Source organism: Homo sapiens, chromosome 2 (assembly GCF_000001405.40).
Source record: "Homo sapiens chromosome 2, GRCh38.p14 Primary Assembly".
Classification (NCBI taxonomy): domain Eukaryota; kingdom Metazoa; phylum Chordata; class Mammalia; order Primates; family Hominidae; genus Homo; species Homo sapiens.
In genome coordinates this window covers 153438854-153464674 of record NC_000002.12, presented here as the reverse complement: position 1 = coordinate 153464674, position 25821 = coordinate 153438854, and the positions used below count along the sequence as shown (strand labels likewise).

At 38.0% G+C, this 25821-nt stretch overlaps 1 protein-coding gene and 1 non-coding gene across 4 annotated transcripts in view, besides 1 other annotated feature; one reads left to right on the top strand and one right to left on the bottom strand.

Moving 5' to 3' along the window:
• The window catches only part of GALNT13 (polypeptide N-acetylgalactosaminyltransferase 13), a 1388282-nt gene that overhangs the window by 991900 nt on the left and 370561 nt on the right, over positions 1 to 25821 (bottom strand). The gene's annotated exons all lie outside the window — the stretch shown is intronic.
• Positions 4614 to 5145: an enhancer, noted in NCBI's record as "NANOG hESC enhancer chr2:154316044-154316575 (GRCh37/hg19 assembly coordinates)". NCBI's record gives its function as "activates a minimal SCP1, AML or CMV promoter by ChIP-STARR-seq in naive H9 embryonic stem cells {active_cell/tissue: H9 hESC(naive)}" and the evidence as "EXISTENCE:reporter gene assay evidence [ECO:0000049][PMID:30033119]".
• On the top strand, positions 17792 to 17862 carry LOC124900522 (small nucleolar RNA SNORD56). Its single transcript, XR_007088714.1, has one exon. It is a non-coding gene; the product is annotated as a small nucleolar RNA SNORD56 (small nucleolar RNA).

Below are 25821 nucleotides of genomic sequence, written 5' to 3'. Positions count from 1 at the left end.
TACAGTCCTGTATTCCAAAGTCACTGCAATCAGCATTGTCATCTTGATATCTTGCTTAAATACTGCTCGCTATAATATAATTTTATGTCCTGTCCTCAGAGTGGCCTTTATTTTGAAATTTTGCCAAGAACAACATTGTGAGTGCTAGAGTTTGATTAAACATAGCCCGGAAGAATATCTTTCAAAGGATACATCTCACCCAGTTTCCATTTATAAAACACAAAGTAGCATATGCTTTGCAATGACAATAAATCATCTTCAAACTTAGACTTAAAAATAACAGACGATGTGGTCTTAAACTCTGATCAGAGAGAGAAATGCTTCCTAGAAGGAATCTTGTAGTTTATCCATGTCATACATCCCCTGGGCACCTGGAGGCACAGTGATGGGGTGGGAGAGGATCCCAAACATATGGCTAACATACAAAACGGGTGCTCAGGACTTTCTCAGCTCTGCTGTATCTTCAGCCCTGAGACCTCAACCTAAAGGCTCATTTTTGTCCAGTTTCTGAGTCAATTTTGACTAAAGTAGAGCACATAACAGTAGCTTCCAGGTGACCAGCTAATGGGATCTGATTGATCTTCAGGTACCTGGTGTGCTTAAGGGATGCCTGGACAATCTTTTGTCCAGAGAACCACAGCTTTTCCACCTGAAGTCCACTTGTTTGTCTAGTCTACTCATATGTCCTGGCTTCTGCTGCACACTGGGCTACCTCTGATACTGCTGAAACTTTCCTCTTCCAGGGAACTGGAATTTCATTTGGATATACACCTAACTGTTGCTTGGGAGAGTCTAGAATTGTGATACCATCACCTCCCCTCATAAAATACCACTTTGGAACAACTACTGTTTTGTCTCAACTATTACAGCGCATGCTCTTGGGTATTTAGAACAGCCAGAATCAAGTTCAAGTTAATCATACCTCTATGGATCCAGAGATAAGGATGGTCACTGACTCCCCTCATCTGTAGCCATGATTACAGTTGAGTTAACTTCTCAACACTGTTCATGTTCTCCGTTCCTTTTCCATTCCTCTAATCTGCTAGAAGATCCTAGCATGCTTTTGAGCCTAGGTTTCATATGCTACATCATGCTGACTACTATGAATGGAAAGCAAAAGATAGATGGAGTTGGAGGAGGGATTGAGGGGTTCTGCAGGCTCACTTAGTGACTTTGTTTGGCTATAGGCGCAAGGCAGGGAGATACATCTATTTAGTCAACTATATATTTCTGCTTCTCCCTGTATTTACAAATCTAATTAGATCCTAGGCAACGAACAAAGTGTTCAGAGAGAGGCTACATGTTCGATTAGAGACTGAAGAGGTGACTTAAGTGCTATTTTTGTCCTGAATTTGAGAAAAACACTGAATATGGCCGCTCCCTAATACACACTTGGATTTGGGGTGGGTCGGCTAATGGAAGTTCTTAAAAACATTACTAAGATATCATCATATTTTTCTTCACTATGCAATTCTCCCACAACACCGCAGGGCAAGGTTGAATTACTTTTTAAATTATTTATCATTCTGTACTCTCTGGTTCACTCATCTTTCCCTTTACCTGGATTGAATAAAGAGTTGATTTTATGTGGAAGAAATTCCTAGAAGTGAAGAGGGTGAGGCTATAAATTACATTTTTAGAGAAATGTCTTTCCTCGGGATAAGAGTAAAAAGATAATCTTCAGTATACAAATGTTTCATTAAATCTTATGTGAGACAGGGTAGTGAATCCTAAGATCTCTGCAAAATCTTTCCAGAATCTATGAAAAGATACAGCTACTGTTTATATGCCAGTGATTAGAAGTTATGGTTTCATGCAACAGTATTCTGGCTTAGCCTATTTATGAGCCAGGACCAAAGGAGATTCTCCATCGCTTTCATATTTATAGACAAACCTTCATATTTTCTTATTGCAAGACAAGTCTTTTGAACAGTGACAAAGTTTCAATTCCTTTGGGAGTGGAGGCTGCATAGTATGGCTCGGCAAGTCTAATTTAGATTTCATTTCCTTTGATTCTAAACAACAGGGAAGGTGAGTGTGAAATGACTTTGGTTCCTGACACCAGTTGCATAGATTTATTTCAGTGATTGATTAAAAGATCACATGGTTTTGCTAAGCATTGCAAGGCTGCATCAATCTTCAAGAGAGATGAAACTGCCATTGATTTTGCCTTGCTGTCCTAGAAAGAAAATTCTGAAAGACTCCATCCAGCTATTAACAGGCATAAGCAGAGCTAATAGTTGCTACAATTGCCAAGAAATTAGAGTATGAAAAGAAGAGGTCCATTGGACAATATTCTTTTTATTTAAAAAATGCCTTCATCTATTTTACTTGATCAAATAATTTTAAATTTAAATGCAGAAAATATGAATGATTACTGTAGTTAATAACAAAAAGATATATTAGAAATATGTAAATTTCAAGAAATAATTTAAGATTTTTTTACCTACTATTTATATGTACGGAGGGAAATATCAATTTTTATTTTGTTATTTTGAATTACAGAAGTGCATGCTGCTGTTAAAAATAAAGTTCACTGTAACATACAAGCTTCTAGGAAAAAAAAAAGTGAAAATCTCTATCTATTCCATAAAAGCTCCCTATGGGATGCGCAACAGTAAAATTTGGGATTTTAAGAAAGTGAAAGGAGAAAAAGATCCAGGTGGCAGCAGATACAAATTTTACTCTACAAACTCAAATATACAAATACTGTAATTTTATTTTTCCATAACTTATAGAAAGAGCTCTCATAATATCAGAGCAGTTCTTCCCCTCCATCTCACCCACCTTCTTCCTCAGAGTTAAGTCTATAGTTAGGAGCTCACAAAATGCGAAGGCTTAGGGAGGAGCACACATGGCATCTTATTCTCGTTCTTATCTTTCCATTGTGGCAGCTACTGAGGTGATTCTTGTCTAATTGTTCTGGGTTGTGGATTTGCAGAAGTCCCTTCCCTGTGGAGCCTTGGCAGGTCAGATGACTCCCAGTATTAAGTTCATGTCATTCTTGGACAGAGGAGATGTATTATGATCTTCCCTTGGGAGTACAGGAATCCTTATACCACTCCGGCACGATCCTGGGTGTCCTGACTTTTGAAATTAACCCAGACTCATCTGCCTAGACATGACATACAACTATTTCTTATCCGGAGAGGGGCCCCAGTCCTCACATCTTTTAAATATTCAAACTCATCTTTAGTCTGTCATTACCCTACCCTGGGCTTAATCTGGCTTTGACCCAGGATGGCTGAAGGAAGGGGTTCTAAGTATCTTTCTTGCTTACTTAATTCTATCAAAATCTTACTGCTCACTCTTTAACTCTTCTTTTCTCTCTGGTGGGGAAGTGGTCAGAGTAGCATCTTCTAACTTTCATGTGTTCTCCCAAATTTCTTCTCCATTTTTTGAGTTCTTTCCTTTTTTTCCTGCATGTTAAACTTCTGAAATTCAAAACTCTAAAAACTGACTACATTTTTCCCCTCTTCTCTCTAATTTGCCAAACTTTTGGTGAGACATGAAGCAAAAGAGACAAGCTGTTTAAAGGAAGGATTAAGGCAAATAAGAAAATACAGTGAAGGATATACAATTGATAAATCAAAAACATTAATGCAAATTATGAGTTAAATATTACTAAATATTGCAAAAAATTACAGAAAAGTGTATACGCCACAACTCTGTCATGTAAACAGTGAATTTTTTCTTCCTATTTTTCACCAAAAAAAGTCATGTTAAATTTATAGATGGAAATCTGCAACTTTATTTCCTTTAAACAGAATATTATGGAAATTCTTCAAGTGTAATTCATACAAGTCCCCAATTTAAAAGCAGCTGCCTAAAATGATGTATCTGTGGCTGAAATCAAACTAGTAGACAGTGGTATTCTTGTGCCAATTATGTACAATCCATGTCCACTCTGATTAATGCATTCTATTTAGTCAGCACCAGGGCTGCACTGTTGTTTATTTTTGTTATTGCTTACTATTTTTACTATCAACCCAGCGTGTATCTTAACTTATTAATCATATGGATACTCAAGTGGTTTCTAATTTGTTGCTCTTTAACCCCACACTGAATATCTTTGTATATATAACTCATAACTTAATAATATTACTTCTTAGGTATAAATCCAATTTTAGGTTTAGAGAAATTCTTTCACAGGTAAATAAGAAGATCGGAATAATGATGGTCTTCTTCAGTATTGTCTGTAATCACAAACAACTGAAAACTATCTAAAGGTCTAATCGTGGGTAAATAGACTGAATAAACTGAACGAATTATATAGCAGATAAAATGAGTGAATGAGGTCTCTATACATTTATCAGTATGAGTTGATCCTGAAAACATAATGTCAAGGAAAAAAGCAAATTGAATGTTGTTACATAACATACAGGTGACTAAAAATAAAATTATACTATATGGTTTTTCATGCTATAAATAACTGTTAAGAGTATTGAAATAAGTACTTCGAACACATTCAATTTGTGATACAGGGTGCTGAGCCTTAGAGAGAAGTGAGAAGAAATTCAACTTCATCTGAAATAAGTTATCATAAAAAGATCCAAAGAAATATCACAAAATAGCAACATTAGTCCAAATATAGGCATATTTTATCTTATATGTATCTTACCTAAATGCATTTATTTTAATTTAAAAATCCTCATATACCATAAATTTTCTTTTGAGTACCACTTGGTTGCATTTAGTATAATTTGCTGATACCTTTCATACAGCTGTTTTGTGATTTCATTTTTAACTTAAGATTCATTGGAAAAATTAATGTATATAGTTTTCTAGTGATTAGATAACCTTTCATTATGCTCTCCTTATTTTGCTTTGTTTCTACACAATGTGGCTTTAGTGGTATCTAGTTTTAGCAAGTCAATGAAATTTAATTTGACCCAAACATATGCAAAACTTCTATAAATACCATGAGGGCATTAGTAAACAATGTGAGATCTCTACTTGTTGTCTTTAGTGTTGTGTGAGAAAGTTCTTATGTGTATTTAAGTGTGTTCCTATATGTTTGTTTGTGTTCATGACTATATCTGAGAGTTTTAGATTAAAGCTTCATAGGATTTTGTTATTTCAGTTTCGCTTTGTATTTTTGTCAGATTTTGCTCTGTCAATATTGACCCCATGTAATTCAGTGCATATGGGTTTATAATGTGAAAGGTACTGGGTTTATCTTTTGTTTGTTTGGTTGGTTGGTTTTGTTTTTTTTGTATTGTTGTTGTTGAGAGGCGGTTTTGCTATGTTGCCCAGGGTTTGAACTCCTGGGCTCAGTGGATCCTCCCTCTCAACTTCTTGAGTAGCTGGGACTACAGACACACACTACTGTGCCTGGCAGATTCTTTTGTAATCAATATAAATGATTCCTTTTATTTTCTAATACAGTTTTCTCTTAGGTTTCATGCCATATGACTCTCATGTTTCTATCCTTAATTTTTTTGTTGGCATTTGTCTGTTATGTTATGTTCCCTGTTTTTCTTTTCAACATATTTTATGTTTTGTCATACTATTTTTTAAACATCTAGAGAAGTTATTCCTCTCACATTTTATCCATGAATTTCCTAATGAGTTTCATGAAACCTTACATCAATTAGTATTTTTTTAGTACCAAATCTAAACTAGTAGCATTTTATTTGTGGCACTAAGAAACAAGCATTGGAGGGAGGGAGACAGTGGAGGAAGTAAATCAGCAAAAGTGCCCAGTTTGACCCTAGATTTTAAGAGTCATATCTCCTAGAAACAGAGAAAGAACAAGTAAAGGCCAATAGTATGGAATTTATAATTTTTGTGATATTCAAAGAAGGAAGATATTGCTCACTGAAATTGTTGGAGCAAACTTCATAGATCTTTTTAAAATAGTTACTGAATGAAAAGAAGACCATTTTTGATTTGTACAGGGGGAATAACATAAACAAAAAAATAATTCACTCATTCATTCATTTCAAGAAACATTAAATAACTACTTTTTCCAGAATTGAGATAGGCTTAGGGAATACAACAATGTACAAAAATGGCTCCCAAATATGAAGCCTAGAATCTGTCCGCAGATTATATCACCCAAGTAGATGTAAAACTAAGTTCTGGGTCTAAGAAGTGAAGTGTTGCATCATCAATAGTGGGGAAAATCTGGCTAGGAAGGCTGGGAGAGGGTTTCCCAAAGTATAAATGTTAAACTGAGGGAAAAAGAAAGAGTGGGTAGTGACCATGAAAGAGAAGTAGGAGGGAGTTTATTAGACACAAAAAATGATGTGTGCAAAGACCCAATGGCAGGGGGAACTTGGATTGTTCTGCCTCTCTTTGAAGCTCGAATGAAAAGAGAAATGGGTTTTGTGGTATGAGAAGTCATGAGAGGTTCACAGATGTCGGCTGAGGTAGGCATTTTAGATCTGGCTAAATATTTTGATCTCTGCATTAAAAATGACAAAAAAAAACTACTGATTTTTTTTTAAAGCAAGGATTTGAGAGTGGAATAAGGGTGATTGTCTTTTTGGTTTGATCAATATTTGCATAGAAATGATCTTCCTGGCTTTCCCTCCATGGAGAATAAAGTCACAGATGAAGAGAGGCCATAGAGGATAAGAACTACAGCAGAAGTGCAAGGTTAGAACTTATAGTAGTTCTGTCTAGAATGGTAACCATTGAAACAAAAAGAGCCGTTTGTAATTGAACAATGTTTAGGAGGTAAAATCAGGAGGGCTTTAAGATAGATTGTATGGGGGATGAGGTACTCCAGGGTTTCTGGCCTCACCAACAGGATGGGGAGGGTATGGAACATGAGGTGATCATGAGGTTTGTTCTGAACATGACCAGAGTCATTGACAATGGAGTGTATATGCAGGAATGGCAATGATAACAACTTAGAAACAGCTGAAAATGCCTAATGGAGAGTTATGCAATAAAGATGAAAATTAAAAGCATTAGGAGAACACAGAAAAAAACAGGAGAATTGAAATTCAGGCAGTGATGTTAGAATCACACACAACTAGGTTGAAATCCCCATGATTCTATTTACTCAGTGATTTTTTTTAAGTACATAATTACCTTTCAGAGTCTTGGTTTTCTCATTTTAATGATGTGAAATTGTATCTACTCATAGGGTTTTTATGAGGGTTAAATGAAATAATATGGATGAAGTGTCTAGTTCAATAAGTGCTTAATAACATTTTTATTTTTAAAAGAGGAGATGGAAGCAAAGTCCCATTTTCAATTTGAGCTGCAACCTTATATATTGATCATATAATAGTCTCCATTTCTGATATTTGAGAAAATAAAGAGAACGGATGATATATCTCTAGTTAAATACTTTTATTAGCTATATCTGTTCTCTAAGTACTAGTCTGGCAGGTAGGCAGACATTTTCCTAATGCAACAGTAACTTATACATTTTGAGACAGATTTTAAAAGTATTTACCTACTTTATGAAAGTTGTCAAAATTACCTCCACATAAAACACAAGTGAATTGCTTATTTATTCTAACAATCCAGTTACACCAAAATATATGGAGCTCAGAAGGCATGAAATCTTCAGGCTGAGACCAATGGGTGCCAAGGAAACAGGCAGCCACCCGACTACTCTGTGTCAAAGGACTCAAGAAAGTCAGCACTTGCTCAAAGTAGGAGAGGAAGGCCTGAACATATAGAAACAGCCATTCTGAATCTTGACTTCCAGAAAATCAGGCACTGTGACAGCACCAGATCTGCTCTAAGCTCTCTGGTTCACATAGTTCCCTCCACTTCCTGTTTGATGCCTTACAACTGATCCTTTGCATTCACTTATATTATCCGCCTGGACCCTGCATTCATCCGCATGTGTAATCCAGACATTTCTTTTGCTAACACTCATAGTTAACAACCCAGGCTCTGAGGCGAGATAGCCTAGGTTCAAATCCTGGTTCTGATACTTACTATCTAACCATGACAAGTTACCTAACCTCTCTAAACTTAAGATTTTTCATTTGCACGATAGGAATATTAGTAATACTTAATTTACAAGTTGTTATGAGGATTAAAAACATACATAAAGCCCATAGAACAGAACATAGCAACAGATTGATGCTCATTGCTAGGTACTGAGGAAGTAAATAGGTACTAGGTGTTCTTCTGAAGGTTTCAGTACACACAAATGGATATCTTAGGGATCCAACTGTTCTCAGGAAGCCACTTCAAGTAAACATCACTCCCTCCCTTGAGCTTTCCTTAACCAGGCTTTATCAATGCTCAGCCACATATTAGCACACCCAGACCTCAGCATTTCCAATTCATGTTTTTTCTTTGGAGGATAGATCAAATCTAGGTTCCATAAAAGCCTAGAAAGGGCCCATTTTGGAAGACTCTAGGAAAGGGACCAGCATTTTGATGCAATTTCAGTTTCTCTGAGATGGTAGTACTGATAGGAACAGGAGCAGATACACTCTAGGCAGAAAAGGGCGGGTCCCTGGAGAAACTCCACCCTCAAGCCAAAAAGCCTGAAATCGTGGCCCAAAGTGAGAACTTATATCCCTGTTTTCCTGCTTGAATGTTGCCTTTTCCTAAACCACCAATGGCCCGCCCCCTGCCCCATCATGTGTCTATAAAAATTCCAGACTCAGCTGGTAGATGGAACTATGGCTGGGCGTCGCAGAGAAGTGGCTTGGCCTCAGAGGGACAGCTTGATGATGTAACCGGAGAAGAATTTGGCTGGAGAGGGCCGGACTTCAGGGGGCTAGTACCTTTCTGATCAGTCCCATTCTCAGCTCCCCTTCCTGCTAAGAGCCATTTTAATTGGCAATAAAATGCTCCGCATTTACCATCATTCAATTCACTTGTGCTACCTCATTTTTTTTATTTTTTATTTTTGGACACTAGGCAAGAGCTCGGGAGCCACAAATGCAGACACAAAAGGCTGCCACACTGGCCCTTTGCCTTCGCTGCTTGAGGGCAGCTACCCCACGTGAAAAGGCAAAGGGTTCACTGAACTGTTAACACTTAAGCTGTCCGCGGACAGCAGAGCTAAACGAGCACCATAACGCGCCCTCTGGGGCTTCAGGAGTCGTGGGTACCCTGCCCGGATACTGCTGCGGACCTGCACGGAGTTCACTCCAGCCGGCACTTCAGCATCCGTCTGGTTCCTGTACCCGCTCACCTATGTGCTCCCTCCCATGAAGGGTGGAAGTCAGTGGGTCCGAGTGAGTGGAGTTCGATCCTGCCGGCACCCAAGCAGCCAGCCTCTTCCAGCACTCATTCACTCGTTCCCGCACTCATTCGCTCATGTGCTCCCTTCAGCGGAGGAGTTGAGATCCGTGAGCTGAGTAAACGAGGCACCCCTGGGGCAAGTCCCACAGAGGGGTCAGGGAAATATTCTACTTCAGTACTTCCCAGCTGCCTTCTTATTTTATTCATCCCATAAAAGGATTTTACTCCTATACTTGTATTCCTTGAATTTAAATTTTATCCCTTGTTTCTTAGGTCTGAGAAGTTATCATAATATGAAGAAGTTCACTGGAATTATAAGAACAGATTTTTAAAGAACTGAATGAGAAAAAAATGCAAGCATCACCTAAAACAAAGAAAAGAAACAGAAAATCCTTCTTCCTTACCCAACCCTTCCTTCCTATCCCCAATGTAAACACTTATTCACTTTCAGGTTATATTCTTCCCCCACTCAAAAAAATCAGGTTTACTCAAATATACATGTATATACATTATAAGTTATAAATGCAACCATACTACACACCTCCTTCTGCAGAACTTTACATATAAAAATATATACATATCAATCTTTTAATGTCTGCACAGGATTATATTGTATGGAATATTATCCATGAATGATTTATATAACTAATCCTCTGTTGTTACAATATTACAAAGAATGTTGGTGTGAGTACGCTGTGTGCCTGCACATACACACACATACATACATTCATAGGTCTTGACATACTTTTCATTCAAGACATGTTGAAAACCTGAACTAAGTAGCAGTGGAGAGGAGATATGGAAGGTGTATAAAATTGAACATACAGGGGACCAAGGAAATCTAGGACAATTCCCAGGTTTCTTTCTTTCTTGGACAAATGTAATGTGTAATGTAACGTAATGTGAATGCATTGTAGGATCCCATTCACTGAGCTAAGGAATGCTGGTGTAGAAACTGGTTTTCATAGGGGAAATAATGACTTCAGTTTTTTATAGGTTGTTTCAGTTGTCCAAGGAGCATCCAAGAAGAGCTTTCTAGTAAGTAATTAGATACAACTGCCTGAAATTCAAAGAACAGGTCTCAGCTGCCAAGTTTATTCTGCAGCAGGCTGTGAAAATGGACGGTCTCAGAGTTTACTAGCCAGGTCTAGAAATTACTTAAAGTAGGATCTGGATGAGTTAGTAAAGAAGCTAAAGTTAAGACTATAAGACAGTTCTATATATATATATACATAATTTCAACTTTCATTTTAGACTCAAGTTACCTGGGTATATTTTGTGATGCTGAGGTTCGGGGTACAATTGATCTTGTCACCCAAGTACTGAGCATAGTACTGAATAGTTAGGGTTTCAAGACTTGCCCTTCTCCATCCTTCCCTACTAGACCCCTCTAATAGTGTCAGTTGTTGCCAGCTTTATGGTCATGATTATCCATTGTTTAGCTCCTGCTTATAAGTGAGAACATGTGGTATTTTTTTATTATTTTTCTGCATTAACTTGCTTAGGATAATGGTCTCCAGCTGCATTCATGTTGCTGCAAAAGATGTGATTTCATTCTTATTTATGGATGCATAGTATTCTATGGTGTATATGTACTACATTTTCTTCATCCAATCCACTGTTGATGGGCACCTACTCTGGTTCTACGTCTTTGTTATTGTGAATAGTCCTGTGATGAACATATGAGTGCATGTGTCTTTTCGGTAGAATAATTTATTTTATTTTGGCTATACACCTAGTAATGGGATTGCTAGTTTGAATAGTAGTCCTGTTGTAAGTTCTTTGGGAAGTCTCCAAACTGCTTTCCACAGTGGCTGAACTAATTTACATTCCCTCCAACAGTGTAAAACTATTCTCTTTTCTCTGTAGCCTTACCAGCATCTGCTGTTGTTTGACTTTTTAATAATAACAATTCTGACTGGTGTGAGATGGTAACTCACTGTGGTTTTGATTTGCATTGCTCTGAAGATTAGTGATGTAGAGCATTTTTTAATGTTTGTTGGCTGCTCATATGTCTTCTTTTGATAAATGTCTGTTCATATCTTTTGCCAATTTTTAATGGGGTTATATATTGTTTATTGTTCAATTGTTTAAGTTCCTTATGGATTCCAGATATTTGGCCTCTATGGAAAGCACAGTTTGCAAATATTTTCTCCCATTCTGTGGGCTGTCTGTTTAGTCTGTTGATAGTTTCTTTCGGTGTGCAGAAGCTCTTTAAGTTAATTAGATTCCACTTGTCAATTTTTGTTTTTGTAGCGATTGCTTTGGAGGACTTAGTCATAAATTCCTTCCCAAGGCCAACATCCAGAATTGTGTTTCCTAGGTCTTTTTTCTGGGATTCTTGTAGTTTGATGTCTTACATTTAAATCTTTAATCCATCTTGAGTTAATATTTGAATATGGTGAGAGGTAGTGGTCTAGTTTCATTCTTCTGCATATGGCTAGCCAGCTATTCCAGCACCATTTATTGAATAGGGTGTCATTTTTCCACTTATTAACTTCGATGGCTTAGATCAGATGGTTACAGCTGTGCAACTTTGTATCGGGGTTCTCTATTCTGTGCCATTTATCTGTATGACTATTTTTGTGCCAGTACCATGCTATTTTGATTATTATAGCCTTATAGTATAGTTTGAGGTCAGGTATGTAATGCCTCCAGCTTTGTTGTTTTTGCTTAGGATTGCTTTGCTTATTCTGGGTCTTTTTTGGTTTCATATAAATTTTAGAATAGTTTTTCTCTGGTTCTATGAAAAACAATATTGGTTGCTTAATAGGAATAGCTTGAATCTGTAGATTTCTTGGGGCAGTATGAACATCTTAACAGTATTGATTCTTGCAATCCATGGGCATGGAATGTTTTTCCATTTGTTTGTGTCATCTATGATTTCTAAGACTATCATTCTATTATGATTTAAATGATAATACTAGATAGAAAGAAACTACTTTTGTATTGAAATGCTGTAAAATATTTTATTTCACTTAACACTAAATTCATATGATACTCATATTCTTTTTCTTTTTTTTGAGATAGAGTCTCACTCGGTTTCCTAGGCTGGAGTGCAGTGGTGCAATCTCAGCTCACTGCAACCACCTCATGGGTTCAAGCGATTCTTTCACCTCAGCCTCCCAAGTAGCTGGGACTACAGGCACCCTCCACCACGACCAGCTAATTTTTGTATTTTTAGTACAGACAGGATATTCTCTTATTTTTAAATTAAGAAGATACTTTTAATTCTGCAATTTGTGATTTGGTCAGAAAATCACATACAAATTTCAGGAAAATAAGCATATTCTTATGCCGTATGTTTTGTTGTTTGGGCCACAGCATCAGTTGGAAGGAAGCTCTCTAAGCAGGCAAAAAGAGCATCAAGTGCTGAAAGTGTAAACACTAAGTTATAAAATTCTCATGAAAACTTGTTAACCAAAACCAAACCAATGTCAGTTACAGAAGCTGTACAAGCGATGCTGGCTGTTTAGGAGGTTGTCCTTCAGATGCTTGCCAATGCAACATTTGATTATAACCTATATGAAAGAGAATCCACATTTTTTAGTCAGGAAGCCAAGGCTTCCAAAACCAGCCTTGAAGGTAAATGAATCCTCCACTCAGTCCCAGGAATCCCCCATCTAGCTGCTTCATGAGCCTGCCAATCAAAAGCAAGTCACCTGTGTCTGCACCTACCTGCCGCCTGGGGCTAGAACTCTAATTGCAGTGAGAAGGGAAAGCAGCAGTCATTCTGACACTGCCTGGGGACACTATTTCCCATTTCTTTCACAGTAAATTTACAGTATCGAAAATGAAATTTCCTCCCAAGTTCCGTTTTAGTTCAAAACAAAAACATACAGTACACTGGAATTACTGTAAAACGCTAGTTTTGGTGGAGCACATCGGAGTGCATTATGTGGATGTGATATTTAACTCTCACTTTCTCTTTCTATACTGCATAAACTTGGGCAAATTTCTCTTGCTAAAATGGAGCAGAAAGAATTTAATGTAATTTAGTAGTCTCCAGCAGCCTCATGCACTTGGGGGAGAGCAGTATTATTTGATAATGATAATGGTGATGAAGGCACTCATACTTTGCGAATTTCTTACCAAGTTTGAGAAGAGAAAAATTATGTACATTTACAAATTATAATAGACTTAAGCTAAGAAGGTTTTTGTGACAATAAATGATGTTACATATGGGTTGGAAGAGGTTACTGAAAACAGGCTAAAGCTAATTCCAGTATTGGGTGAGAAAAGAATCTTATTTACTAGATTAAAATGTATAAAGGAACACACAATTTACTAATGAATGCTGATGATTTTAGGTCAAAATATATTTTCTGAGGTTATAAATTAGATTATTTTTATAGTTTCAATTAAACTATTAGTATATTAATACTTAATTATAATACTTTTTGATGGAGGCTGAAAATATACAGCAATTGGGAAGAAAGCACATCATGCCTCCCTGGGGTGTTTGATAAATATCAAAGTATGACAATGAATTGTGTACAGAACATGCTTTATTTGTATTTATGGTTGAACTTCATAGAAAAACTTCTCTGTGAGACATTAGATAGGTCCTAACTAAAATATTGTATCATGTTTACTTTCATCCATCTTTTGAAACATGCTATGGAAAACTGAAGGTCCTATGGAAAGAAATCAAAATAAAGAACATACTTGCACAAGTTTCCAAGTGAAAGCCCATCAAAGTTTCTTTTGGTCAATTGCAACTGGCTACTATTACATAAGAGGGACATTTTAATGGCCTGATAAGTGTGCTACCATATTACAAGGTCAGCTTCACTTCATTGTAAAATGCTTTGGAAGACTGACTGATATGTGTTCATCGGAATATAATAGACATCTGCAATCAAATTCTATCCAGAGAATTTTCTGGGCACAATTTAAAGTGTGGACCAAAAAAAAAAAAAATTCAAACCTAGGGGTATAGGACTCAATTATCTGTGGGAATCAGAACTTATCATCCAATACATCATCTAAAGAACAATTAAAGATTTTACTGAAGCAGTCAGTGACAAAACCAGCGTCTGAGTTCACGATTTCTCTGAGCCTCCTAGTGTTAAATTTGATCATGGATCATTTTGCTTCAATCATTTTTTTTTCATTCAAACTGAAAAATATTTATAACAAAAACTAACTTGTTGAGTAAGATGGGGAGGAAAAAAGAAATATGAGTGAAAATAAAAAGTGAATGCAGCAACGTATAATATGCTGGAAGAAACTTAATTTGCAGTTTTGCTGTTTAAATGCATTATGAGTTATGAGAATAACAGAGGAAGACTTTAGTAGAAAATGATGGTAGAATAGGCTTCACATTACTAATCTGACAAGTCAGAGTGGTTACATGAACTCTCCAACAATTATTACCTGAAAGATTCATTCTAAACCCTGAACGATGAAGCCTTGTTAAGTAAAATGCCTCTGTAGCAGTCAACTCTATCCAAGCCATACTCTGGGTTTTTCAACCAGAAAGATTTACTACAGAAAACTGTTTTCCAGATTATATTGTTTGAATAGGTTCCCTCCAAAATTCTGGCATTGAAACTTGGTCAATGTGATGTTATTAAGAGGTATGGCCTTTAAGAGGTGATTAGGTCATAAAGGCTTTTCCCTTCATGAATGGAATTATGACCCTTATATAAAAGTAGATGCAAGTAACATGTATCCCACTTACCCTTCCACCTTCTGTCATGTGAGGACACTGTTTCTCCCCTCTGGAGGATGTAGCAACAAGGCACTATTTGAAAGCATAGAGCAGCCCTTACAAGACAACTGAATCTGCTGCCACCTTGATCTTGGACTTCCAGCCTCCAGAACTGTGAGAAAATAAATTTATCTTCTTTATAAATTACCCAGTCTTAGGTATTTTTGTTATAGCAACACAAAACAGACTAAGACAATAGATAACGCAATTGTTGAGAAACAAGTAGAGGTGAGTAGTGCAAAGATAGATTGGCAACAGCAAGAAGCCATTACCATCTCTAGGGCAGGAGGGACAATGGAAGGGAGCGCTTTCCACTGTGTGGGAGCCAGAGGCATGGGGGAAAAAACATCTTGGTCAGAAGTGGGATCTCAGGGTGCATGTCTTCTTTGAGGGACTGGAGTTATGAAAGAGAAGCACTTGCAGAGACAACACAGGATGCAGAAGGAAATGGTGAGAAGTAAGCAGACCTCCCCCTCCTCCTGTCCTCAAACTGTTGACCCCCACCTTCTGGTATTCGGTTTGGGCTTCCATAAAAAAATACCATAGACTGGGTAACTTAAAAAGCACAGAAATATTTTCTTACAGTTCTAGGGGCTAGAAGTCCAAGATCAAGTTTCTGGCCAATTCAGTTTTTGGTGAGGGCTCTGTTCCTGGCTTGTAGACAGCCACCTTCTCCATATGTCCTCACATGGCCTTTCCTTGGTACATGCACAGGAGAGAGAGAGACAGAGAGACAGAAAGACACACAAAGAGATAAAGAGAGACAGGGAGAAAAACAGGGAGAGAGAGACAGAAAGACAGAAAGTGCACACACGCGCTCTCTGGTGTCTCTTATAAGGATACTAATCCTACTGGATCAAGGCCCCACTCTTATGACCTCGTTTAACCTTAATTACTTCCTAGGAGGTCCCATCTCCAAATACAGTTATATTTAGGGTTAGGGCTTCAACATATGAGTTTAAGGGGACACAGACATTCATTCCATGGCACTGCCTTTGACTGAACCTACTGTGATGCCTTTGGCTGAGTCCCTGAGATAGTAAGGGGTCCTGAAAAGTGTCCTGAGATGCAGAAAAGGGGGAGAGGTAGAATAGGTTAACTTGCACATTCTCTCATGGTATTCTTTTAATCTGATTTTTAATGGAACCTGGAGAAAAAAAAAGAACAGAAGAATTGAGTGAACTTAATATAACTTGGTGAAATATGTGTTTCTTAATCACCATCATGGCAACTCAATATATGCTGGCAGATTTGATAGTTGTGATCAAATGCTAGGCTACAGAAAATGTCTAATTTATCACCAGAAATATCTCCCCCTATATCAGAAGATTTATCATAACTGGAGCATTATATAAATTTTGTTCCTAGACAACAAAGATTTGTCTGCTTGAGGAAAAAAAATAAACTGTTAGAGGAATAGAAAGAAAATACGATTCTATTCTAATAAACTAGGAAACACATAAAAATAAGTTGGCTTCAAGGTTTCCTTATTAATCCTCCATTCCACCCACTCACATTGCGGGCAGTGTTGATAAATATAGAAAAGCAACATGCTTCACTACATACAACGAAAAAATAAAGACAGTATATTACTATTGTTTGAACAAAGGATAAGTCTTTTATCCATATCAGTACCCTAAATCTGAGACATCATATGCAATCCAAACATAGATGCACAAACCTCATTTACAGTTAAAATTCTGGCTTTGCAAACATTTGTAAGGGAAATGGTAATTGCTCTGTAGGTCAATTGAGACTTTTTAGATTTAACTCAATGGATACTTTCAGGTAGCAAAAGAGGAAATGCATATGAGTAATTAAAATCATCAAAAATCAATCCATATGAGAAATACAATGGCCCTTTAAGTGGGATGTCCTAGAACACTGCCTTGCCATTTAAAATTTGATCACAATGAATGATCCAAGACCTCATAATATATATCAAGAGCCTTTAAAAGTCCATTTTTTAAATCAATTTATTTCATTTTTGAGAATCCAAGGAAATAAAAAAATCAGGAAAAGTTTTACATAAAGCTGCTAGTTAGGTCATAATTTATATTACAAATTAGAAACAATCTAACTTTTTGACAGTAAGAGAATGCTTGAATAAGCTATGAAACAGAGCTAGAATTTGCTATTATATAACCAATAAAACTATAATTATGAAGAGAATTTATTATATGGTAAGGCATATGCATAGGCTACTACCAGAGTAATACTACAGGAAAGACAGGAGAAAGATGTAGCAAATGTTAATAGGCTGTAAATGTAATAAATAATCGTGGTTACCTTTCAGTTTTAGGATTATACGTGTATTTTTCCCCTTCTTTGTAGTGCATATTTTCCACATTGATCATCAGAAAAAAGACAAGCCACATGAAATAATCAGTGCTCCTATCTGACACCTTGCATCTTGTTGTTTCGTGTCCCTCAGTCCTGCCTTGGTCTAGCAGTTTTGGAGGCCAGAGCTATGAGAGCTTAGCTATGGATTTGGCCAGCTGCCCACTGTTCCCCAGTGCTATCCTGGCCTCTTCACCTACATTTACAATTATTACAATATTTGTTGAGAACCTGTTATGTGCCAAGCATCAGTTTAGGTGCAATAATAAACTTAGAGATGTATGCCATTTTATGTTTACGCTTGCAGTTAGGTTTATTTTATTAGGGCGACAAGACTTATTTACTTGAAATAAAAATCAGGAAACAAAAGAGCACTTAATCTGAAGCCAAGATATTCTATAGGCCAGTAGCTTTTAAACCTTTCAATGTAAAGAATATGTGTGTCTATGTATATTTGGAAATAATGTCTCACGGAATATTCGTCATCACTATGTTTAATAAACTCTGATATTTTCTATTTATCCCCATATTCCTATTCTGCATTATTACATTTAAAATACACTATTAGGATGACAATATTTTTTGTCAGCAGCAGCTTACCTAATGAGTGTTGATGCTTTGGGTCTGAGTGAAGAAAAGATAAAAGAAGAAAAAATATGCTAATCACAATCCACTAGATTGATTCCATGACCTATTACTGGGTTCGAATCCAGAGTTTGAAAAATACACCTATAGGCAAAAAATTCTGAAAAATGCTTTAAAAAATCAATGTAGTCCCTGTAAATTACTGGGAAAATCTGAGTTTGAAAGTAGTATTCAAAATAGTGACGGTATCCATGTGGGAAAGATAAACCAACAGAATTAATCTGATAGATTCGCCTGAAGTTCAGAGCTGCTGCTTCCAAATAAGTAGAAGTATACTTCAGTAGTTAAGAGTGTAGTCTTTACAGTTAGACCGACATGGGTTCAAGTCCAAGCCTTCCTAGATTACTTAGTTTCTCTCTATATTTCCCCAGTGTAAAATAAAGATGGCTAGTTCTACTTTTTAAGAAAATTTATAGAATTAACTCAGCCAAAATAAGTTGTGCCTGATATGTAGGAAGTACTTACTATACACTTCCTTAGTTCAAAGCTTGGTGGACTATGTTGACACCTGAATCTTAATGATTTATTTCACCTGGTTCCAAATTCCACAATGGTATTGACCAAAACTAATGTCTGCCTCTCACCCTAAAATCTCCAACCTGGTTTATTTCTACTTTTGCCTAACTCCTACCCCTAAATCTACAATCTTCTGCTCTCAATAGTCCCAAGTAACAGAATTTAGCAAGTTTGAGAAGTGAGTCAGACTCTAATTCTTTTTTAATATAGACCATGCTATGTAACGTAAACTTTATATATAGAGATGGCTGTTTGTAGTGATAATGTTTTTATTTTTTGAAAGTAATAAATATAAATAACATATAAAGGAATAAAGCAAAAAAGAAAAACCTTAGAAACAAAAATCATCATCTTTCCACCACCTAATCTTTTTAATCCCACTCCTTAACAGTAATTTCAAAACAATGTTAAAAGATAGTGATGAGAATGGGCATCCTGACATTTTTCCTGACTATAATGTATATGCTCATTATTCACTATCAAGTATAATGCTGATTTGGGGGTAAGAAATATATAAGGAGAAATACCCCTGAATCTCCATGATTGATATATATGAGAAAACAGAGATTATTTTTAAATGAATTTGTATATTAAAAAATCACTATAGGACAGGCATGGTGGCTCACACCTGTAGTCCCAGCACTTTGGGACGCCAAGGCAGGCAGATTGTTTGAGCCCAGGAGTTTGAGACCAGCCTGAGCAACACAGCAAAACCCTGTCTCTACTAAAAACACAAAAAATTACCCAGGCATTGTGCATGCACCTCTAGTCCCAGCTACCCTGGAGGCTGAGGCAGGAGGATCACCTGAGCCCGGAAGGTCAAGGCTGCATTGAACCATGATCATACCACTGCACTCCAGCCTGGGTGACAGAGTGAGACTATGTCTCAAAAAAACTCATTATATTTTCCTATTTTGTTATTTTTAAAATAAATAATAAAGAATAAATTTTATCATATGTCTTTTCTGCATCTCATGGGGCAACTTATGGTTCTGCTTGTTAGACTTCTCATATGGGGAAGCATAATTATGGATATTCTAATATTCTACTTGTTTATAGCTGAAAAAGTTATTTTAATGGACAAATTTTTTAACAGACATGTTTTCATATAAGTATTTGAAAAGATATTCAGCTTGATTAGACATTTGGAATATCTAAATTATAACCACAATGAGAAATCAGTACTTATGTGTTACCATGGCTAAAAGTTCAATGATTGACACTGTCAATTGCTATGGAAAATGTTGAGTAATAGGAACTCACTTCTGGTGGAAATGTAAAAATGCAATAATTTTGGAAAATAATTTGGTAGTTTTTAATAACATTAAATATACACACTCAATCTAAATTCTTGGTATTTATTCAAGTATTATAAATTGTAAATCTATATTGACACAAGACTTGTATGTGAAACACCACAAGCTGGGAACAACTAACATGTCCTTCACCAGGTGAATGACTCAAAAGAACTTACATACCTATAATGGAATGACACTTAGCAATTAATAGAAAAAAACACTGATACATAGCAACATAAATAAATCTTAAATGCATTTTGTTAAAGGAGGCAGAAAACAAATGCTACATATTGAATGATTTCATTTATATGATATGCCAAAAAGGGCGAAATTATCTAATATTCTACTTCAAAGATTTATATTTTCTTATCTATCAGTGTACATCATTGGAAATGGAGGGCATTTTTCTCTGATTTGAAAATTATCAGTCATTATGCATATAAAATAGTATTATTCCTATACTCTTTACACCCTAGTCATACCATCAAATGGATAGCAAAGATAATGCTTTTCTGCTAGTGCACTTTGTAAATCTTTGAATAACACATTCCTCAATCATGATAGTCAAAATACAATTGAACAGATTGAGATTTTTATCAGATTATATTCATTTATTCATTCATTCACTCACTCAAAAAATATTTCTTGAGTACATACTATATGTTTTGTTCTGTGACTAACAAAGTACAAGAACTCCATGGCGTTTATGATCTAAGAGGGAGATAAACATTAACTATCACCCTAGGTAGTTGTGTAAGCAGGTAGGCAAGTAGGTAGGTAGGTAGGTCAGCGGGTGGGTGAGTGGATGGATGGATAAATGATAGATGATAGATAGGTAGATAGATGAATAAATGGATAGATAGATGACAGATATGTAGATGGATGGATGAATGGACAGATGGACAAACATATAGGTAGGTAAATGATAGATAAAATTACTAACTGTAGTTAAGCACTGTCAAGATAAATTATAGAATTATAGGAGAGATTATTATAGAGCACAAGAAATCTAACATAATCTTGGGAGAATGGGAAGGCCCTTATGAGAAACTGACCTTTTTTTTTTGAAATGGAGTTTCTTGTCACCCAGGCTGGAGTGCAATGGCATGATCTCAGCTCACTGCAAACTCTGCCACTCGGGCTCAAGCAATTCTCCTGTCTCAGCCTCCTGAGTAGCTGGAATTACAGGAGCCCACCATCACGCCCGGCTAATTTTCATATTTTTAGTAGAGATGGGGTTTCACCATGTTGGCTAGGCTGGTCTGGAACTCCTGACCTAAGGCAATCCGTCTGCCTTGGCCTCCCAAAGTGCTGGGATTACAGGTGTGAGCCACCGCACCTGGCCTGGGAAATTGACTTTCAAGCAGAGATCCTAAGGATAGAAGATAAATAATAGAAAACACAGTGAAGAGTGCTCCGCACATAAAAAATAGTACTCAAGTCTTAAAGATGAATGGATAGTGACATATTTATGAAATTAGAGAAAGTCCAAGATGGCTGGAGAGCAAAGCATAGAGAAAAGTGAGGGAAAATGGGAAAAAGGTGAGTGATTTCTGCATTTCCAACTGAGGTACCTGGTTCTTCTCATTAGGACTGGCTAGACACTGGGTGCAGCCCACAGAGGGCAAGCTGAAGCAGGGTGGAGTGTCAACACACCCAGGAAGCACAAGGGATCTGGGAACTCCCTCCTTTAGCCAACGGAAGCTGTGAGGGACTGTCCCTTGAGAAATTGTGTAATCCGGCCCAGATACTCCACTTTTCCCACAGTGTTTGCAATCCGCAAAACAGGAGATCCCCTTGGGTGCCTATGCTACCAGGGCCCTAGGTTTCAAGCACAAAACTGGGCAGCCATTTGGACAGATACCGAGCTAGATGCAAGAGTTTTTTTTCAGACACCAGTGGTGCCTGGAACTCCAGCGAGACAAAACCGTTCACTCCCTTGGAAAGGGGGCTGAAGCCAGGGAGCCAAGTGGTCTAACTCAGTGGATCCCACCCCGCAAAGAGCCCAGCAAGCTAAGATCCACTGGCTTGAAATTCTTGCTGCAAGCACAGCAGTCTGAAGTCAACCAGGGACACTCGAGCTTGGTAAGGGGAGGGCTGTCCACCATTACTGAGGCTTGAGTAGGCGGTTTTCCCCTCACAGTGCAAACAAAGCCACTCGGGAAGTTCAAACTGGGAGGAGCCCTCTGCAGCTCAGCAAAACCGCTGTAGTCAGATTGCTGCTCTAGATTCCTCCTCTCTGGGCAGGGCATCTCTGAAAGAAAGACAGTAGCCCCAGTCAGGGGCTTATAGGTAAAACTCCCATCTCCCTGGGACAGAGCACCTGGGGGAAGGGGCAGCTGTAGGCACAGCTTCAGCAGACTTGAATGTTTGAAATTAAGGCAGTAATTTATCAACCAAGAAAAGCCCAGGACCAGATAGATTCACAGCCGAATTCTACCAGAGGTACAAAAAGAAGCTGGTACCATTCCTTCTGAAACTATTCTAAACAATAGAAAAAGAGGGACTCCTCTCTAACTCATTTTATGAGGCCAGCATCATCCTGATACCAAAAACTGGCAGAGACACAACAAAAAAAGAAAATTTCAGGCAAATATCCCTGATGTACATCGATGCAAAAATCCTCAATAAAACACTGGCAAACCAAATCTAGCAGCACATCAAAAACTTATCCACCATGATCAAGTCGGCTTCATCCTTGGGATGCAAGCCTGGCTCAATATACACAAATCAATAAACATAATCCATTACATAAACAGAACCAATGACAAAAACCACATGATTATCTCAATAGATGCAGAAAAGGCCTTCAATAAAATTCAAATCCCCATCATGCTAAGAACTCTCAATAAACTAGGTATTGATGGACTGTATCTCAAAATAATAAGAGCTATTTATGACAAACCCACAGCCAATATCATACTGATTGGGCAAAAGCTGGAAGCATTCCCTTTGAAAACTGGCACAAGACAAGATGCCTTCTCTCACCACTTCTATTCAACATAGTATTGGAGGTTCTGACCAGGGCAACCAGGAAAGAGAAAGAAATAAAGGGTATTCAAATGGGAAGAGAGGAAGTCAAATTGTCTCCATCTGCAGATGACAAGATTGCATATTTAGGAAACCCCATTGTCTCAGCTCCAAATCTACTTAAGCTGATAAGCAACTTCAGCAAAGTCTCAGGATACAAAATCAATGTGCAAAAATCACAAGCATTCCTATATACCAATAATAGACAAGCAGAGAGTCAAGTCATGAGTGAACTCCCATTCACAATTGCTACAAAGAGAATAAAATACCTAGGAATACTACTTAAAGGGATGTGAAGGACCTCTTCAAGGAGAACTGCAAACCATTGCTCAAGGAAATAAGAGAGGACACAAACAAATGGAAAAATATTCCATGCTCATGAATAGGAAGAATCATTATGGTGAAAATGGCCATACTGCCCAAAGTAATTTATGGATTCAATGCTATCCCCATCAAGCTACAATTGACTTTCCTCACTGAATTAGAAAACACTACTTTAAATTTCATATGGAGCCAAATAACAGTGTGTATAGCCAAGACAATAGTAAGTAAAAAGAACAAAGCTGGAGGCATCAGGCTACCTGACTTCAAACTATACTACAAGGCTACAGTAACCAACACAGCATGGTACTGGTACCAAAACAGATATATAGACCAATGGAACATAATAGAGGTCTCAGTAATAATGCCACACATATACAACCATCTGTTTTTTGACAAACCTGATACAAACAAGCAATGAGGAGAGGATTTCCTATTTAATAAATGTCATTGGGAAAACTGGCCAGCCATATGCAGAAATCTGAAACCGGACCCCTTCCTTACACCTCATACAAAAATTAACTTAAGATAGATTAAAGACTTCAATGCAAAACCTAAAACCATAAAAACCCTAGAAAAGAACCTAGGCAATACCATTCCAGACATGGCCATGGACAAAGACTTCATGACTAAAACACCAAAAGCAATGGCAACAAAAGCCAATATTGACAAATGGGATCTAATTAAACTAAAGAGCTTCTGCACAGCAAAAGAAACTATCATCAGAGTGAAGAGGTAACCTACAGAATCGGAAAATTTTTTGCATTCTATACATCTGACAAAGGGCTAGTATCCAGAAGATACAAAAAACTTAAATTCAAAAGAAAAAAAACAAACAATACCAACAAAAAGTGGGCAAAGGATATGAACAGACACTTGTCAAAAGAAGACATTTATGAGGCCAACAGACATATGAAAAAAAGCATATCATCACTGGTCATTAGATAACTGCAAATCAAAACCACAATGAGATACCATCTCATGCCAGATAGAATGGCGATCATTAAAAAGTTAGGAAAAAACAGATGCTGGAGAGGATGTGGAGAAATAGGAACACTTCTACACTGTTGGTGGGAGTGTGGATTAGTTCAACCATTGTGGAAAACAGTGTGGTGATTCCTCAAGGATCTAGAACCAGAAATACCATTTGACCCAGCAATCCCATTACTGGGTATATACTCAAAGGATTATAAATCATTCAACTATAAAGACACATGCACACATATGTTTATTGCAACACTGTTCACAACAGCAAAGACTTCAAACCAACCCAAATGCCCACCAATGATAGACTGGATAAAGAAAATGTGGCACATATACACGACGGAATACTATGCAGCCATGAAAAAGGATGAGTTCATGTCCTTTGCAGGGACATGGATGAAGCTGGAAATCATCATTCTCAGCAAACTAACACAGGAACAGAAAACAAAACAATGCATGTTCTCACTCATAAGTGGGAGCTGAACAATGAGAACACATGGACACAGGGAGGGGAACATTACCCACTGTGGCCTGTTGGGGGTGGGGGGCTAGGGGAGGGATAGCATTAGGAGAAATACCTATGTAGATGACGGGTTGATGGGTGCAGCAAACCACCATGGCAAGTGTATACTATGTAACAAACCTGCACATCCTGCACAGAACTAAAAGTATGTTTTAAAAAGTATAAGTAGGCCAAGACGGCCGAATAGGAACAGCTCCAGTCTGCAGCTCCCAGCGTGAGCGACACAGAAAACGGGTGATTTCTGCATTTCCAACTGAGGTACCGGGTTCATCTCACTGGGGAGTGCCGGACAGTGGATGCAGGACAGTGGGTGCAGTGCACCATGTGTGAGCCGAAGCAGGGAAAGGCATCGCCTCACCCAGGAAGCGCAACAAGTCAGGGAATTCACTTTCCTAGTCAAAGAAAGGGGTGACTGATGGCACCTGGAAAATTGGGTCACTCCCACCCTAATACTATGCTTTTCCAACAGGCTTAACAAACGGCACACCAGGAGATTATATCCCACACATGGCTGAGATTGTCCTATGCCCACGGAGCCTTCCTCATTGCTAGCACAGCAGTCTGAGATCAAACTGCAAGGTGGGAGCAATGCTGGGGGAGGGGCACCTGCTATTGCCCAGGCTTGAGTAGGTAAACAAAGCAGCCAGGAAGCTCGAACTGGGTGGAGCCCACCACAGCTCAAGGAGGCCTGCCTGCCTCTGTAGACTCCACCTCTGGGGGCAGGGCACAGACAAACAAAAGGCAGCAGTAACCTCTGCAGACGAAAATGTCCCTGTCTGACAGCTTTGAAGAGAGTAGTGGTTCTCCCAGCACGCAGCTGGAGATCTGAGAACAGGCAGACTGCCTCCTCAAGTGGGTCCCTGACACCTGAGGAGCCTAACTGGGAGCCACCCCCAAGTAGGGGCGGCTGACACCTCACACCACCAGGTATTCTTCTGAGACAAAACTTCCAGAGGAACGATCAGGCAGCAGCATTTGCGGTTCACCAATATCTGCTGTTCTGGAGCCACTGCTGCTGATACCCAGGCAAACAGGGTCTGGAGTGGACCTCCAGCAAACTCCAACAGACCTGCAACTGAGGGTCCTGACTGTTAGAAGGAAAACTAACAAACAGAAAGGACATCCACACCAAAAACGCATCTGTACGTCACCATCATCAAAGACCAAAGGTAGATAAAACCACAAAGATGGGGAAAAAACAGAGCAGAAAAACTGGAAACTCAAAAAATCAGAGCGCCTCTCCCCCTCCAAAGGAACACAGCTCCTCACCAGCA